The 17,601-nt window shown below is 59.4% G+C and overlaps 1 protein-coding gene across 7 annotated transcripts in view, besides 1 other annotated feature; it reads left to right on the forward strand.

Moving 5' to 3' along the window:
- The window catches only part of DAGLA (diacylglycerol lipase alpha), a 66,611-nt gene that overhangs the window by 43,979 nt on the left and 5,031 nt on the right, over nt 1–17,601 (forward strand). For 6 of the 7 annotated variants that reach the window (NM_006133.3, XM_047427544.1, XM_047427543.1 and 3 more), the window contains 14 exons: nt 1,626–1,713; nt 3,784–3,918; nt 4,562–4,639; nt 6,948–7,072; nt 10,480–10,633; nt 11,192–11,275; nt 11,370–11,447; nt 11,901–11,981; nt 12,813–12,955; nt 13,318–13,386; nt 13,766–13,838; nt 15,096–15,292; nt 16,094–16,223; nt 16,793–16,980. In NM_006133.3, the coding sequence (NP_006124.1) occupies nt 1,626–1,713; nt 3,784–3,918; nt 4,562–4,639; nt 6,948–7,072; nt 10,480–10,633; nt 11,192–11,275; nt 11,370–11,447; nt 11,901–11,981; nt 12,813–12,955; nt 13,318–13,386; nt 13,766–13,838; nt 15,096–15,292; nt 16,094–16,223; nt 16,793–16,980 (1,623 nt within the window). Of the gene's footprint in view, nt 1–1,625; nt 1,714–3,783; nt 3,919–4,561; nt 4,640–6,947; nt 7,073–10,479; nt 10,634–11,191; nt 11,276–11,369; nt 11,448–11,900; nt 11,982–12,812; nt 12,956–13,317; nt 13,387–13,765; nt 13,839–14,807; nt 14,930–15,095; nt 15,293–16,093; nt 16,224–16,792; nt 16,981–17,601 lie in introns of those variants that run through there. The other variant, XM_047427545.1, reaches the window with a different exon arrangement.
- Nucleotides 16,066–16,639: an enhancer, noted in NCBI's record as "H3K4me1 hESC enhancer chr11:61507907-61508480 (GRCh37/hg19 assembly coordinates)". NCBI's record gives its function as "activates a minimal SCP1, AML or CMV promoter by ChIP-STARR-seq in primed H9 embryonic stem cells {active_cell/tissue: H9 hESC(primed)}" and the evidence as "EXISTENCE:reporter gene assay evidence [ECO:0000049][PMID:30033119]".

Genomic DNA, 17,601 nt, shown 5'->3' on the forward strand with positions numbered 1-17,601 from the left:
TTCATCCATTTAATCCCTTTGTGAACCCCGGCATGGTTGTGAGATCCATTCTACAGATGAGGAATCCAAGTCCCAGAGAGGGCAGGTCACCTGCCGTGGGTCTTGCTGCTGGGGTGCAGAACTGGCACCACACCTGCAGCCCAGAGCAGCTGGCTCAAGCACCTGGGGAGCAGGCTGTCTGGACCCCCGCTGCCCGGCAGGAATTCTCACCGTCCCACCCTCCTGCACTGCTGTGTTCGGCTCCCCGTGGACCTTCCACGTCAGCTCAGCACTGCAGCCAGAGCCACACCCGTGCCTGCTGTGGCCACGTCCCAGCCCAAAATGTCAGGTCTGGGAGCCAAGGCCCCAAAGCCCATATTCCCTCCCAGCCCAGCTGGCCACCACCACCCATCCCACAGTGCTCTGGGAACCCTGCTTGGCCAGCACACTGTCCCTTCATGCCCCAGAAGGTGGGACATTGGTTTAGGATGTACAGCTGTCCAAGTCCCTAAGAGCCAGCAGGTCCCCAGAGTAGCAATTCCCTGCACCCTTCCCTACCTGCCTCCCGTAGCCCTGGAAGACCCTGTTGCCCTCCTTCTCCTTGTGGCCATTTGCCTTATGAAGCCAGGGTTGGAGAGCGGGAAGCGGTCCTTAGACACACGGAGGAGCCAAGAGGCTCAAAAAGGGCCTGGCCTGTCACTACAGATTGATGTTAAGTGCCTTGAATGCATATGAGGGCCACCCTTGCCTTCCTCTCCTGACCACCCAGCATCAGGCTTTTAAGGGGCCGCACATGGCACAAAAGCAAGCTAGCCCCTTCTTGCTCGGTTTGGAGGTCTGCACTTTTAATGTTGGATCTGTTATCTTTATGCTCAACACACTGACTGCAGACATCCAGCCTAGGAGGAACCTCTGTGAATAACTGGCCCATTGCTCTGCCTTTGGGTACAGACTCCTGGAGACCCTGATTCTCCATCTGAGCAGCCAGACCCACTGGGGATGGGGTTGGGGGGTGAGAATAGACAAGGGCAACCATGTGGGTGAGGGGTAGAGCCCTCTCCCTACCTAGGTATCAGATCCAAGGAATTGGGAAATGCAGAGCCTTACTCAGCCCCATAGATTTCCTGTAAGTAGAGTATGTAAGTATGTAAGTGTCTGAAATCCTTTCTGGGGAAAAGCAGGTCTTTCTGGAAGGTCTGTTCCAGGCCTTAGAATGAGACGACAGGGAGGCCCAACACCCTGCTGACCTCCCAGGGTTTGAGCCTTTGGACACCTGAGCTGCAGGGTAGCCCCCACTTAGGGCTCCCAGCTCTGAAGCCCCAGAGCCTGCCTGTGTTCAGTCTTCCAAAAGCCAAGGAGCCTCTCAACTGCTCCCCACCTCTCTCTTCCACCCACCCACCCTTGGCCAACGGCACACACCATCTTAGGCTAGCAGGAGTCTGTCAGGGAGGGCCCCTGCTGGCCAGCAGCCAGGCCACTGGCCACCAGCTCTGGCAGGGCCTGGGCCCTGTTCTCCCCCAGAACCCACTGCGGGAACCCTTTGGTAGGGTCCTGGGAACAGCCTGCCCTGTTTCCATAACGTCTGGGTCCCAGCTCTTCTGGTCCAGCCCTCTGACCTCACACATACCGCCTCTCCTGCTTTGCAGGCACCGCTTAGAGGAGGGTCAAGCCACCAGCTGGTCGCGCCGGCTCAAAGTGTTCCTCTGCTGCACGCGGACGAAGGACTCCCAGTCAGTAAGTACTGGGAGGTCGCTCCCCTCTGGCTCACATCCTGTGGTCAGGTGATTAAGGGGCTGTTGGCTCCTTTGGCAAAGCAGGATGGGGCAGGGCTGGTGGGAAGGAGCTGGGTTTCCAGCGTGAGCAAGTATGGCCTGCTCACACAGGGCCTGTTATTCACTGAGCCACTCGCTCCAGCACGCAGGACCACGTCCACTTGCTTTGTCAAGGGAACAGAAAGCTGTGAAGACTGCATCAACTCCCTTGGAACTTATACTCTAGTTTAAGGAGAAGAAATATGCAAAGTCAGGGTGACCTGAAGACAAAGAAAAGTAGCGTTTCACCAGCAGCAAATTAATCAAGAAGGCCTGGCAAAGCCGATAGGCGTTTAGCACGGTCCTAGATGGGGACACATAGCCTTCAGCACCTGGGAGCTCAGAGGAGTGACCAGAGGGCCGGACTTAATGCCAGGGCACTGCAGAAGGAAGACAGGGCCAGCTGGGGGCGGCCCCCAAGGGGAGGGAAGGGAGGCAGGCCCCGGGATCATCCAGGGGTGCCCCGCAGCGGGCAGGGACCTTAGAGATCATCTAGTCCCACCCCTCATTTTACAGATCAGGCAGCTGAGGCCCAGAGAGGTGGAGTGACTTGCTCAGCGTCCCACAGCTAGTTAGTAGCAGAGCCAGTGAGGTCAGGAGACCACTCCTCCCTGAGGCAGACAGCAAAGTGCCTTCCACGGAAGCCACCGGGAAGCCTCGAGTGGCTCCTGCCCACCAGCGTCCCCTGGTGAGCCGTAGAGTGAGTAATCAAGTGTAAGAAAGCCCCCGAGGTTCCCTGGTGGGCGGGGAGCACCCCCTTGGGTCTCTCTGGGGCGGTCTGAGGGGTCTGGGCTGCAAGGCAGGCCATGCAGAGGGCAGAGAGCCGGCCCCTGGCGGATGGAGGCTGGGGCTGCTGTGTGGAGGGCACGCCTGCCCCTCTGGGTGCACGGGCAGAGCTGGGGCTGTTGTCAGAGTCTGGGGAAAAGATAGCACATCACAGCAGAGCCCCACGGCAAAGGTCCTGTTAGACACTGATGGCCTCAGGGGGCAGGTCTGGTCCCAAGCATGTTTTGATCAGCGTGTGTTGTGTTGCTTACACATTTTAATTGGATGCCAGCATTTAAAAATCAGGGGTATTTCCATAAACTTCTGTATTTCTGAATCTGGTGAAGTGGGCCCTGGAGGGCCTCCGGTCAGCTGGAGCCGAGCAGTATCTGGCTCCGTTTGGCTCCATTCGGCATTTGAATTTGCAGCCCTTGATTTAGTCACTTACAAGTGCCAAACACTCAGGGGCGAGACCCAGTGAGACAGACTTCATTGCCATGTGGTTGTTCCCACCTCAGCGTCTCCTAACAGGTTAGGGAAGAGGCTCTGGGCTGCAGCCTGGGGCCAGGAAGGGAAGACTAAGAGGGCACCAGCCAGCAGGGCTCGCCTCCTGCCCTGAGGCCCAGACATGCACTGTCTTCAGGCCAAGGGCCTGGAGAGAAGCCATGGGGGACCACTGGGCCAGAGAGTACACCCCCTTCTAGGGCACATTGTGGGGGTCACTGAGCCAGCAGCCTGTGGGTAGCTGGGGGAGGGGCCCTGAGACCTGGCAGGCTCCACAGAGGCCTTACGAGGGACTTCCAAGGTCCCAGCTGGTGGGTCAGAGGCAGCCAGGAGCTTAGTTTGGTTTCTGTGCTGGAGAGAATGGCTAGAGGAGAAATGAGCCAGAGCCACCCGGCCTTGATTCTAGCGTCTGGGAAAGCAAAAAGGAGTGGCTCAAGTTGGCGCCTGCTCTTGGTAGACAGTGGGCACCATGCGAATTCCAAGGAGAGGAGAGGGCTGGGTGGCTACTGCCAGGTCTAGGAGCCCTGGGCAGGGCCCTCAGGGTCACAGGGCCACATGGGGTCAGGCTCAGTGGGCGCTGTGGAGGTGCTGGGGAGAACCTGTCCAGGGGACCCCGAGCAGACACCTGCTTCTGCAGCCTCCCAGCCCTGGGGGATTTACTCCTGGCCTCTCGTCCTCTCTCCTGCTCCCCTGCCACTGCCTCCTGCCTTCCTGGACCTCGTAGGATGCCTACTCAGAAATCGCCTACCTCTTTGCGGAGTTCTTCCGGGACCTTGACATTGTGCCATCCGACATCATTGCTGGCCTGGTGCTGCTCCGGCAGCGGCAGCGGGCCAAGCGCAACGCCGTGCTGGACGAGGTGAGCACCACCAGCCCCTTCTCCAGGTCACCTCTCCACACCACCCTTCTTTCAGGCCCCTTCCCTGTGGCCCCTGCAGCGGAGGGCTCGGCTCCCACGCAGCTCCCCAGTGACCACGCACTCTCTTGGACCCTGGAGGTCACCTTTACCTCTGGCTCCCCCTGCCTTCCTGAGCTTGTCCTTCGGCCAGGCTTTCCGTGACTACTACTCTAGGGACTTTCTGGGTCGTGCATGGCTGCCTCTGGGGCTGGCCCTCAAAGGACTTCTAACCACAGGCTTAGTGGACGTGGTGAGCTCCCGAGTCGGTCTTCTGCGTGGCCGCTCCGCCCACCCCACATCCCCACCAGCACACCAACCCCAGTTAGGGTTTCTCAGTGTCTCATACAAAATACCTTTCGCCTGCTGTGGGCCAGGAATGTCCTCAGGGGCTTGATGTTTTGGGTAGAAGGGGAGCATCTGGAAATATGGGGAAACCTCAGATTTTGGAAAAGTGGCTGAATCTTGGAAGAACTAGAAGCTGCATGCTCGTTTGGGCTTCTCGGCCTTTGGGAAGCAGGCGGACGCCAGGGCCTGGGCCCCCTTTCCCAGCCATGCAGCCGGGCCTGGGCCAGTGATTGTCCTTCTTCACCTGCCGGTCTTACAGGCAAACAATGACATCTTGGCCTTCCTGTCTGGGATGCCGGTGACCAGAAACACCAAGTACCTCGACCTCAAGAATTCAGTGAGTCAGACATCAACTCTCACCCCACCCCGTCCCCATCCCTCCCACTCTGCCACAATGACCTAAGCAAACTCCTCCCAGCTGCCCTTGCAGTGCCAGCCACATTGCCCCTGCCCGGTCTCCCCCCGGCTCTCCAGAGAGCCTCTCTGCTCAGATCATGCCCCTCACGAGAACCACCCACTTCACACCGGTTCGACAGACAAATCCCCTGAATTCCTTTACCAAGTTCAGAAGTGTCTGGTCCTGGCCTCTTGAGATGACAGAGCACTTTACCAGGGTGAGCTGCTAGCATTTTTGCTGCTGCTGCTGCTGTTAATGAAACGCAATGGGCGTAGTACTTGGTTTCCAAGCTTTTTTAGTAGTGGAACCTTTTCTCAATCGCCTTTCGTAGAAATCCAGTGTGTAATAGGGAAAGGTGGTGCCAGTAACATGGTGGGAGAACCCCAGCCCAGGGCCCAGCACACAGCCCAGGGCCCAGTACAGCCCAGGGCCCAGTACAGCCCAGGCTGAAACCACAGCTGGCAGCCGGGAGAAACAGGCCCTGCCTCAGGAAGCAAATGGCTGGAGCGTGCATCTGCTCTGATGCCTGTCGCTGCGACCTCCAGCAGGCCCCTCATCCCCTCTGAGCTGGATCCTGAATCTGTGAAATGACACTAGGCACACCTTCTACCAGAGCTGTGCTGAGAGGACACGAGCCATTCCCATCACAGTGCCAGGAAGCCTCGGTGCCAGCCAGGATGCTGATGGAAAGGATTCCGTCTCTTAGAAATCTCAGTCCTTTAGGCCACGTGTGCTGCCTTGTGCCTGCAATCCCAGCACTTTGGGAGGCCGAGGTGGGAGGATTGCTTGAGGCCAGGAGTTTGAGACCAGCCTGGGCAACATAGTGAGACCCTGTCTCTACAAAAAAAAAAAAAATTAGCCAAGCATGGTGGCACATGCCTGTGACCCCAGCTACTTGGGAGGCTGAGGTAGGAGGATTGCTTGAGCCCAGGAGATCAGGGCTGCAGTGAGCTATGATTGCCACTGCACTCCAGCTGCACTGTCCCTTAAAAAGAAGAAAAAAAAAAAACCAACACTCAGTCCTCTAGAAAAGCCTCAGTCCTCCCTGCCTGTCCCTACTCCCCACTAAAGCAGGCATTTGTATCCTCTCTAAAAATAGCCACATCCATAGTAAGTGCCCCAAACCAGCCCATTTCTGCTTGCCAGGCTCTGCCCTGGCTGTTCTCACCACCTTCTCCCTCCCACTCCTCACAGGGAGCGGGGAGGGCAGGCAGCTGTGACTCCCATCAAGTGACTCCCATCGAGGTGCCAGGGTCACACCTGCCACCTGGCAGAGGCTGCCAGGGCCCACCCCGCCCCCAGGGCTGCAGGGAGCTTCTGACAGGGAGAGGATAATTACCTCTCCACTCTCGTTCCTGAAGAGCAGCTGAGCTGGCCAGGGATGTTTCCACCCCTCCGGGCCCTGATCAAGGTGCCACCTATTTCACTTCACAAGGTGACTAACCACCCTCCTTAACTTTTACAAGGTGACTAATTCCCTCTCCCGGTGCCTGGGGCACTCGGGAAAGACTGGAAGCTGGCAGACACTTTGCTGGGGCACCCCTGCCTCTTCCTCCCTCCACCCCAGCAGCCAATAACCTCCTCAGCATCAACAGTGGCTGCTGGGCCTCAGACACACTGGCTTTCAAACTGGTGCCTTTCTCCCAAGAGATCCCAGTCTCCCACCAACGCAGCCCCTGCCCGGAGCCCTGGGAGCCTGCAGCTGGCTGAGTCAAGTTGAAGGCTCCCAATATTTGCAGTCAAAGAACCCAAGGGCCAGAGATTTGGTGATTGGTCTCCTGGCCTAGCGTGGCTGCCCTGTTGCCCAAGGCCCACACACGCCGCCCAGCTGGAGGGCTGGGGCCTCTCAGGGCTACATTTTCCCAGCATCAAGGGCCCTTCTCAGGGCTGATTGCCGAGGTGGGGGGATTACTACTCACATCCCTCAACTCTTCCCTTCTCTGGAAAACAGGCAAGGAAATGGACCAAGTGATTTTCTGTCCCCAAATCATTAATTCTGAGACTGGAGCAACAGGACAGGTCTCTGAGGATTCGTGTCCTGGTTGCATGGAGATAATTAGGGAAATGCAATTATCACCTGGAGGAGTGTCCTTCCTCCAAGGCCTGGGCCCCACACCTCAACAGGGGACCAGCAACCCCTCCCTGCCAGGGGTTGGGTCCGCAGGCTCCCACCCTGGGGAACTGCTGGGCCCTGAGGCTGTAGGCAGGAAGGGCAGGAGGTGACCGCCCTCTGCCTCCTCTCTTCTAGCAAGAGATGCTCCGCTACAAAGAGGTCTGCTACTACATGCTCTTTGCCCTGGCTGCCTACGGGTGGCCCATGTACCTGATGCGGAAGCCCGCCTGCGGCCTCTGCCAACTGGCTCGGTCCTGCTCGTGAGTACCCCTGTCCCATCCCCCAGCGATTGCACCTCTCCTCCCGGGTGGTGTGTGAGGAAGGGCTACCGGGCTGCGCCTACTGCTTTGCCCTGAATGGCTTCTTTTCTACACCTTCTCTGGGCCTCAACCTTTCTAGTTCTGTGTTATCCCTGAGCAGTGAAGTTGTAGGCTTCGGAGTCACACAGTTATGGGTTCGAATCCAGATGTTGTCACTTGCAGCCTGGGGCAAGTGGGTCCACCTCTCTGAGCCTCAGTTTCTTTATCTGCGAAGTGGAGATGTTGATACATACCTCGTGGAATTTTTTGGAGAGGGCTAGATGAGATATTGCATAACACCCACACTGCTGCCTCCCCTCCCCTTCTGGCGTTCTCTCTCTGCCCCCTCAGCCATTCCCTTCTGCCCACATCTTCCCTTCTCTCGGCTCCCCTCATGTGCTCTGCCTTTCTAGAAGAAAGGACTTTCCTAGTAGAGAGGCCCAATCCATAGAGGTCTTTGAAAAGGCACCAAGAAGGCCTGTTAGTTAAGGCTCCAACCTTCTTCATAGGATCTAGGAAAGGCCTTAGCCCCAGACCTGGCCTGCAGCCTAGCTCTGCGCTCAGCCCACCGCTTGGGGGCTGGGTGGACTCTGCATTCCTAAGTGGGCCAGAGAAGGGCGCCTGCTCCAGGAGGAACCCCTCCCTGTCCTGGGTGTCTCCGCCCTCAGCTCATGCCAGGCAGAAGGAGGACAGTTCCCTGGGCTCCCGTTCTGGAAAGGCTGGCATGCTGGGCAGCAGCTTCTTTCCTTGACACCCCTGCCCTTGGGACCCACAGCAGCCACACCCACTCTGCAGCGCCCTCCCTGTCCTCAGAAAGCTGGGTGGCTCTCGGGGCCTTATTCTCACCATCCCTCCAGCGACTGATCAGAGAGGACTAGAGCACCTCATGCCCCCTTCCCATCTTTGTCAGCTGCATGTGCCTGGCATTCTTGCCTGCATCCCTGGGAGTCCCAGCTGTGGCAGAGAACTCTTCAAAATGAGCACCAGGCTCCATTACTCACTGGTGGTGTGGGGACAGCTCTTAGAGCCTTTGTTTCCTAAACTGTAACAGGTGGTATCTGTCCTGCCTGCCCATAGGGTGTTTCAGAACCCAGGGTATCACTGGCAGGCAGGGCTCTCTGGTGCTCTGCAGACAGGAGGGGTGCTGGCATTTGTATTAGGTGCCTTAGTGTTGCAGAGAGAGCAGAGTCCCTAGACCTCATGAGGGCCCAGCCAGGCCCCTGCCTGGAAGAACCAGGTGCCTGTGGGGCAGAGAGAGGCAGGCCTGCAGCCCAGGGTGTTGGGAGGAGGCCAGAGTCCAGTGCCCCAGCCTGTCCATAACAGCCTGGCCAGAGGGAGAAGGGCTGCCCATCTGCCTCGGGCCCAGGCCTCTCCCCTGGCAGCAGTTCTCAGCCCATGCAGAGCACAGCGAGCCAGGCCTGCTTCTGGCTTGGCCCTAGCCCTGCCCTGGATGAGCCCCAGGGCCCTCCCATCCGGGGTGCTGGCCCTGCTCCCCTGACTGGTCCTCCTGGCCCACACATCACTGACTCAGAGGCAGCCCTGTCACCGGAGAAGCGAGGAGCCACTCGTTATTAAGAACCTATTATAGGCCAGACCATTTCTGCATCTTGGACCCTTGATCTCACACCAGCCTTGTGAAGTAGCTGTCACCACCTGCTCTTACAGAAGAGGAAACTGAGGCTTAGAATGGCTGAGTGACCTCCAGGCCCTTGCGGTCAGGAAGTGATACAGCAAGGGTTCAAACTCAAGCCTCCAGTCTCCAAAGGCCACACTGTTACAGCCTCATGCTCAGCTGAGGTTGGAGAGGGAACAGCTGCCGAGCACAGGAGCTCAGCCCCTAGACCCTGGCCCATCACCACTTGACCTGCAGTGTGGGGGACCATGCTCTCCCATTGTACATCGGCTTTGTCCCCCCAGCAAGCACTGTGGCTTTCTCAGCAAAGTCTCTCCCCATTGGAAAGTGTGTAATAGTCACTCAGGTGATGCTCTGAGTGAAGACAAACCTCCTAGCATCACCAGAATCCAAGCTTCTTAATAAAATCTCAGCTGTCATCCCGTGACAGCTGGCAGGCCCAGTCACGTGGGCTCCAGCGTCTGGTGCCTTAGCAGTTGGATGCTGGCTCCCTCTGGTGGCCTGAGGTGCCGCTGCACCTAGCTGGGTGCCCAGCTCCCAGGCTGCCTCATTCATTTCTGTGGGGAGGCTACTGTGTACCTGGCCCTGTTTGGGTGCTGGGGATACAGCTGTGGACCTCTCTGTGGTGCTCACTGCCCAGCGAGGAGGCGGACAGCGCATAGACAAGGCAAATAGGGCACATGGTGGAGCGGATGGGCACTTTGGACCCACATAAAGCCAGGTGCCTGGGATGGGGAGTGCTGGGGGCCTGGGGAGCCCTGGCTGTTAGATGAGGTGGCAAGAGAGACCTCACTGTGACAGGACGTTTGAACAGAGGCCCAGAGGAGCAAGGGCCAGGCCACGCTGTCTCAGGTGCTGCTGAACACGCTGGCAGCAGGTCAGAGAGACCAGAGCCAGGTGGGGTAGACAGGGCGTTGCTGTAGGGTCTTAAAAAGAAAATGATGTGGCTCAACTTATCTTAAAAGGGCCACTCTGTTGCTGAGCTGAGAGCGTAGGGGCAAGTGCAAGGAGGCCAGTCGAGGCCACCATGACAGTCCCAGGCAGAGCTGCCAGGGCAGGGGTAGGGGAGGTGAGGGAGTGCCTGGAGTCCAGCTCTGAGTCTGAAGGGAAGCCGAGTACGTGTACTGACCGAGTGGCATGGCCGTGGGGGTGAGGGCTGAGGAGCCACAGACAGTTGCAAGCCAGAGGCCAAGCCACCGAGGGGCCTTGGGAAGACCTCAGGAGGGTTGGGGTACACAAGCAGGGAAGGGGTTTGAGAGCTGGCAGGGTGTCAGGTGTCCGAGAGAGGTGCTGGCTAGGCCATTGGATGGAAGCATCTGGGTGTTGGGGCAGGCCTGGGGTGGATTCCTGAGCATGCAGATGGTGTCTAAAACACAAGACTGCATGAGTGCATGGAGGAGCCAGTGCCCCCAGAGGGACCCCAGGGCTTCAGTGTTGGGTGCATCGCTGAGTAGGCCCTGCCCGGAGGGGAGATCCCAGAGAGGAGGGGGCCCCAGCCAGGTGGGGAGAGGGAAGGGCCCACAGGGTCAGGTGCCGCCAAGAGCTCAGTTAAGAGGAAGGCTAAGAGTGGCCAGTGGATTTGGTGACGTGGGGGTCACTAGGACTTAGCAAGGGCAATTTGGTAGAGGCAGTGGGGCTGAATGCCCAACTGGAACTGGTTCCAGGGACAGTGGCAGGAGACATTTGTTCCCTCGGGGACTCCCTGGCCCTGAACTCTCTTGTCACCCCACCCTAGGTGTTGCCTGTGTCCTGCGAGGCCGCGGTTCGCCCCTGGAGTCACCATCGAGGAAGACAACTGCTGTGGCTGTAATGCCATTGCCATCCGGCGCCACTTCCTGGACGAGAACATGACTGCGGTGGACATCGTCTATACCTCCTGCCATGATGCGGTGAGGCCGGGCAGGGCTGGGGCCTGGTGTCAGGAGCAGGCAGCTGAGGGCCTAGGGTGCTGAGGCTATCCTTCCAGGCCGGCAGGAGCCCTTGCTTGGCTGGTGCTGGCTGGCTGCAGCTTCCAGGCATCCCTAGCTGGGCAGACCAGAGGTGGCCCCCTTCTCTTCCCCAGACCCTGGCTTGCCTGTACCACCTCTGGGGCTGGGAAAGCAGACATCAACCCCACACCCAGTGTTTGGGTTGCCGAGCCCTAGCCCTTTAGGGAAAGGAATTGAGGGCAGAAGCAGGGAGGGGCAGCCATCACCTGGACTCAGGGGCAAGTGGTGGCACTCAGGGCTGCCAGAGCCAGCAAGGAGCGGGGAGGGCAGGGCAGGCCTGTGGCTGGGATCGGGAGGAGATCCCCAGTGACCCTGGGAGCCCGTCAGCCTTTCTGGCGGCAGAGGCTCCGTGGCTGGTGGAGCCAGAGTTCCTGGCCAGGAAGGAGACCTGCCTAGGTCACTTTCCCTGAGTGTGGCCCCACCAGGGCCGCTCAGGCTCACGAGCTGCCCGCCTCCTAGGTCTATGAAACGCCCTTCTACGTGGCGGTGGACCATGACAAGAAGAAAGTGGTGATCAGTATCCGGGGGACCCTGTCCCCCAAGGTACGCTGCCCATGGCTCCCAGCCCCCGGGGGTGCCTGCCTCCCTCTTCCTGTCCTCTTTAGCCGCCCCCTCACCTGTCTCCTCTCTCCCCAAGGATGCCCTGACTGACCTGACGGGTGATGCTGAGCGCCTCCCCGTGGAGGGGCACCACGGCACCTGGCTGGGCCACAAGGTAACCCACGTCATGGACCCCAGGGCCCCTGGGCTTCTTTCCTGCCCTGCCAGTGTGCAGAGGCGTGTATGGTTGGGGGTTCCTCCCTGCTCGCTGGGCTCACTGGAAGAGATTGGTCAGAGAGGCATGAATTAGTCTGGAAGGCCCGTTGCGGCCCACTGCTGCGACCCCACTGCCCTGCACAGCCCAGAGCCTGACCATGGAAGAACCTGAGAGGCAGCTGCGGAGAGATCATACCAGCTTCATTAGCCACACTGCCCCTCTGAGCCTCAGTTCCCACCTGTGAAATGGAAGTGACAGGATCAGCGTGTCTGCCAGCCCCCACAGCTGGGTTGTCACGAGGCCCAAAGGGAAAAATGGATGGGGCAGGGTTCCTGAGCTGCAGGTCACTGTGGGTTTGCTGGTCACTGGGAGGCCTCCCACCAACACCTGCTTCTGTTCCTGCCCACCCAGGGTATGGTCCTCTCAGCTGAGTACATCAAGAAGAAACTGGAGCAGGAGATGGTCCTGTCCCAGGCCTTTGGGCGAGACCTGGTGAGGAATTTTCCATGGCACCAAGCCTTTTCACACCTGGGTCCCCCTCCTCCAACGCAGCACAGAGAGGAGAGGATGGATGGGTGATGGAGCCTCACAACTCCCACACAAGCCAGGCTCCTGCAATCCCTTCCAGCCTGGCTCCCAACCCCTCCTCTTTTGTGCCAGGTCCTGTGGGCATCCTGCTCCGCCCCACCTACAGTCATTGGGCACCTGATTCATGCCAGACACTAGAGGCACAAAGATGATTCAGGGCAGACGGCTTTTAAGCCTCATAGCTGCAGAACCGTTTGTCAGAAGGAAACATGGAGAGGCTCAAAATACAGAGCAGAGAGAAGGGGTGCTGCTCTACCTAGGGGGGAACTGAGTCCTGCCCACTGGCCACGGTCTGTGCAGGTAGCTCCTGAGGTGCCACCAGCTGCCCTTTCCAAAGCAAAGCAGGCTCTGGCCTCAGGAGACTTCAGTCTAGTAGTGAGGGTAGAGAGATGGGGTCAGGTAACCACATGTTTATAGTGATAAAAAGCTCCATCCCAGGTACAGATGCAATGACTAGAGGGAGTGAGCCACTCCTGGAAAATCAGAAGGGCTTCCCCAAGGACATAACCTCTGAGCAAGGTTTGGAAGCGTAAATAAGAGTTTATTAGAACAGTCTGCCTAAGCAGTCGCTCTGTGGGGCCCTATCTTGGTTCTCTGTGCCCTAGCATTCACACAGCACAGACAAGATCCCAGGACTCTGGGAAGATGGGAAGACCCTCTGCCTCCCTTGGGTTGGCTAAGACAGTCGCTTGGCGGGCATTGGGGCAGGGCTCTCAGGCTTCTCTCGGTCTCCAGGGCCGCGGAACCAAACACTACGGCCTGATTGTGGTGGGCCACTCCCTGGGCGCGGGCACTGCTGCCATCCTCTCCTTCCTTCTGCGCCCACAGTATCCGACCCTCAAGTGCTTTGCCTACTCCCCGCCAGGGGGCCTGCTGAGGTGAGCCATCTGGGGCTTCAGAGTTGGCTGGGGCAGTTGGGACCAGTGGAGGCTGAGGGTTGGCTGGTGCTAGGGGCTGGACTGGGAGTCTGACTTCTGGTCACATGGAGGTCTGGGAGTGGCCTGGAGGGTGGAGGGTGGGGGCTCTGAAATGCCATGCGCCCCCCAGGATCTACCTAGCAAAGCCTTACCAGTGGGAAAGACAGAGCAGGGAGCAGGCAACCCAGCCTGCCACCAGCCAGCTCCCCGGGAGCCATCCCAGGAGTGCAGGAGCAGGGCTTGCTTGTGGCTGGGCCCCCCGATTCCGGAACACCACCACCCCGCCCCCTTGGCCTTAGCTTCTGCTTCGGCTTCCCTTGCAGTGAGGATGCGATGGAGTATTCCAAGGAGTTCGTGACTGCTGTGGTTCTGGGCAAAGACCTCGTCCCCAGGTGAGTCCTTGGCCCCGCTCCATGGTCCCTTGCCAGGCTGTTCCTCCCTCCTCCAGGCCTCTCCCCACCCCCAGCCCCCGCATCTCTCTCAGTCCGATTCCTGTCTCTCAAGGGACCCCACGCCCCTCCCCACCCTTAGTTGCCCAGTGGTGAGAAGCCCAGGTGAACGCACGTGCTGGCGCCCGCCCTGCCTGTCCTCTCACTCCTCAGCTCTGCTCTGGGGAGCTGCTCTGTGGACACCTCTCCACCCCGTGACCCTGGCTGACGTGTCTTCTTGTTCCAGGGGCTAGGCGTGTGCCTGCCCCTCCGCCCCTGGCCCCATACCTCTCATAGCCGCTGACCAGGCCTGGCTGACGGCCCTGTCTCGTTCCCTCCCCAGGATTGGCCTCTCTCAGCTGGAAGGCTTCCGCAGACAGCTCCTGGATGTCCTGCAGCGAAGCACCAAGCCCAAAGTGAGCCCCCACCTGGGCACCCTGCCTCTGTGCAGCCTCATCTGTCCCTGCCCTTGACCCCCACCGGTTTCTTGGGACAAAGCACAAGAGGCCCTGCCATGGAAGGCCAGGGCAGGGTGTGGCTGGTGTTGTGGGAACTTCAGGAAGTCAGACCCTCAGCATCCCCAAGCTCAACCCATCCATCCCCTGTCATTGTGCAGATGGGGAAACTGAGACCCAGAGTGGGAGGGACTTGCATTTGCTCACATAAAAAGTTAGAACAGAATCAGGACAGGAACCGAGAGGCTCCCATCACACAGAGCTGGGAGCTGCCCACAGTCAGGAGAAAGCGATCTGGAGGCTTTGAGCGGTGAGGAAAGGCCTCTGCCGAAGCCTCTGAGATTCCCTAGGCTCAGGGAGGGCTGGGAATGACCTGTGGAGAGGATTTGGGTACAGTTTGTTCTGATTTTCTGCTGTGACCAAGAGGAGAGGGTCAGCCCTTCCTAATCCGCATCAGGTCTCTGGAGGACACTGGCAGACGGGGTGGCCAGGTGGGGGTGGGGACATGGTGGCCAGGCACACTGAGGCAGGCCAGCGCAGGAGGAGAGGGTCCTCTGTGTGGTCACCCCTCCTCACCCCCTGCCCCCCGCCCCCTGCCCCGGGCGAGCCCTCAGCCCATTCACCATCTCAGCCCCGTCTGGACCGTTCCCAGCTTTGGTGCCCTAGACCCTGTGGCAGGCAGGGCCCTGGGCCAGGTACCAGGTGCCAGGCAGTGAGCAGGGCAGCAAAGCTTTGTGGGACTTTGCCTGCCTGGAGGAGCCTGGTTCTGGGGAGGTGGAACTGCTCCCACCAGATTAGTCCTGGGCTTTTGTCAGGCCAGGCCTGGCAGGTCCAGCTGGACTCAACTCCAGGGTGTGTTTGGCCTCGGACTTGTGGAGTGATCCAGAATAAGTCCCTTCCCCTCACTAGGCCTGTCTCCCCATCTACTAGATGAGGGGTTGGCTGGGCTTCCAGCCCCTTGCCAGCCCTGAAATTCAACAATTCCATGTCATCTGTCCTTGGCACCTTATTGGCCGTCTGGCCACCGTGCACCTCAGCCACTGCCTCTTCAGGTGGGCACCGACCTTTAATGCTCTGGCCACTGCCCTTCCCCTGCCCCTTTGCCATCTTACTGCCCACCTCTCACCTGCTGAGCCCCCCTTCTCGGTCCCCCTGCCCCTGCCCCCCAGCCAGTGCTACTTAGCTCTGTCCCCATCTCTCCCACTCCACCCCGCGCAGTGGCGGATCATCGTGGGGGCCACCAAATGCATCCCCAAGTCGGAGCTGCCTGAGGAGGTAGAGGTGACCACCCTGGCCAGCACGCGGCTCTGGACCCACCCCAGCGACCTAACTATAGCCCTCTCAGCCAGCACTCCACTCTACCCGCCCGGCCGCATCATCCACGTGGTCCACAACCACCCTGCAGAGCAGTGCTGGTAGGTTCTGCCAGGGTCTGCTGCTGCAGGGGGTAGTGGCCAGGGCAGGGGCAGTGGAGAGCAGGGCCGGCCTTGGCTCAATCACCGCTCGGGGCTGGGGGTGGAGGCTGGGAGAAGATGGCCCAGGGCCTCCATGGAGGGGTTTCCCCAGCATCGGGCTCTGGAAATGGAACAAAAGGCCAGCCCTGAGCAGGACTCCAGGCGTCTCTCTCCATAGTCTGGCTTTGCCTCCAGTGTCAGCCCTTCCCTGGTGTGCCCCAGGGCAGCTCTCCCCACTGGTGGTCCATTTAAAAGTAGGTGCCCTGGAGGGCTCACCCCTCAGGCCCTGGCCAGCTCACACCTCAGTTGTCACTTGGTTTCACCAAGGGAATTCCTCGAAGACAGCTGTGAGCAAGGTGGGGGCTGCGCCAGGAGAGAGAATAGGAGCAGGCAAGTGGGTAGACCTTTCCCACTGTGCTCCTTCAGACGGCTGGGCCCTGGCTCCTCCCTCCAGGGTCGGCTTCCTCCCCTGACACAGCTGGTGAGCTGGGCCGTGCAGCAGGTGGAGCAGGTGTGGCCCAGGCCAAAAGCAGGTCGAAGGCTGTGGAGGGACCATGGCTGAGGCTCGAGGTCAGCCTTTCCCAGGCTGAGGGCAGGGCAGGAGCCAGGCCAGGGAACAGAGCCCTGCTGCCAGGCAGGCCAGGGGCCTCCAAACCATGCCAGCTCTGCTGAGCAGGGCAGAGAACAGAGCCAGGAGGCCCTGGCACCGAGGGCCAGGCCACCACCCCACCCTTAACTCCCCTCTGTCCATGTCCCTCTCAGCTGCTGTGAGCAGGAGGAGCCCACATACTTTGCCATCTGGGGCGACAACAAGGCCTTCAATGAGGTGATCATCTCGCCAGCCATGCTGCATGAGCACCTGCCCTATGTGGTCATGGAGGGGCTCAACAAGGTGAGGCAGCTCCCGGCAGGGTACCACCAGGGAATAAGGCACTGTCACCCCATCAGAACCCCGTAAGCACCATCAGATCACTGCCCGATTTTACAGACAAGGGTGCTGGGGCTCAGAGAAGTAGGTAGCTGGGCCAGAAAGCCCCACTCAAATACTTCAACCTCACACCCCTGGCTCTGTCCACATCACCACGTTGCCCCATGGTGGGGAGGAGATAAGGAGACTCCCAGGGGCCTGTCCCTGAGGCAGGCTCAGCTCAGAGGCCCGGAAGGCCACCTGGCCCTTAACAGATGAATGGGCAAGCAGCGACAGCCACAGCCATCCCCTGGCTGCGGAAAGGCTGAAGGCAGGTAGGGCAGGAGCACTCGCCGGGCTGTGGGGCGAGTCGTGACCAGATGGGCAAGTCTCAGGCCTTGGGGAGTGGTGACCTCAGGAGGAGGAGAGTGGGACCCAAGTGACTCCATGAGGCTTTGCTTGGCCTGAGAGGCCTGGGCCCTGGCTCCACATCGGCCCCACGATGGGGCCTGATGTCCCTCCACCACCCCCAGCCTCCTCTGTCCTGTCCTCAGGTGCTGGAGAACTACAACAAGGGGAAGACCGCTCTGCTCTCTGCAGCCAAGGTCATGGTGAGCCCTACCGAGGTGGACCTGACTCCTGAGCTCATCTTCCAGCAGCAGCCACTCCCCACGGGGCCGCCCATGCCCACTGGCCTTGCCCTGGAGCTGCCGACTGCAGACCACCGCAACAGCAGCGTCAGGTGAGCCTTGGCCACTCCCAGCCCCACCCCAGGGTGAGTGTGGTTCAGAGCACATAGACTTGTGTGCACATGCATTTTGTGCATGCACTGGGCTCAGCTCTGCACACGTGCACAGGAGGGGTCAAACTCACCCTCTGTGCTCTAGGGCTCTCTTGCTGTGCTCCAGCTGTCCCACAGCCTGCTGTCCCTGAATCCTACATGAGCCAGGGGAGGCACACAGACCCACAAACCCTGGGCCACAAAAGCACAGATTCACTCTTTTTTTTTTTTTTTTTTTTTGAGACGAAGTCTCGCTCTTTTCCCCCAGGCCGGAGTGCAATGGCGCGACCTTGGCTCACTGCAACCTCCACCTCCCAGGTTCAAGCGATTATCCTGCCTCAGCCTCCCAAGTAGCTGGGATTACAGGCGCCTGCCACCGTGCCCAGCTAATTTTTGTATTTTTAGTAGAGATGGGATTTCACCATGTTGGCCAGGCTGGTCTTGAACTCCTGACCTCAGGTGATCTGCCCGCCTCAGCCTCCCAAAGTGCTGGGATTATAGGGGTGAACCACCATGGCCGGCCTGCACAGATTCACTCTTACACACTTAGACGCAAACAGATGGACACCCATTTACTTACAT

Source organism: Homo sapiens, chromosome 11 (genome assembly GCF_000001405.40).
Source record: "Homo sapiens chromosome 11, GRCh38.p14 Primary Assembly".
Classification (NCBI taxonomy): domain Eukaryota; kingdom Metazoa; phylum Chordata; class Mammalia; order Primates; family Hominidae; genus Homo; species Homo sapiens.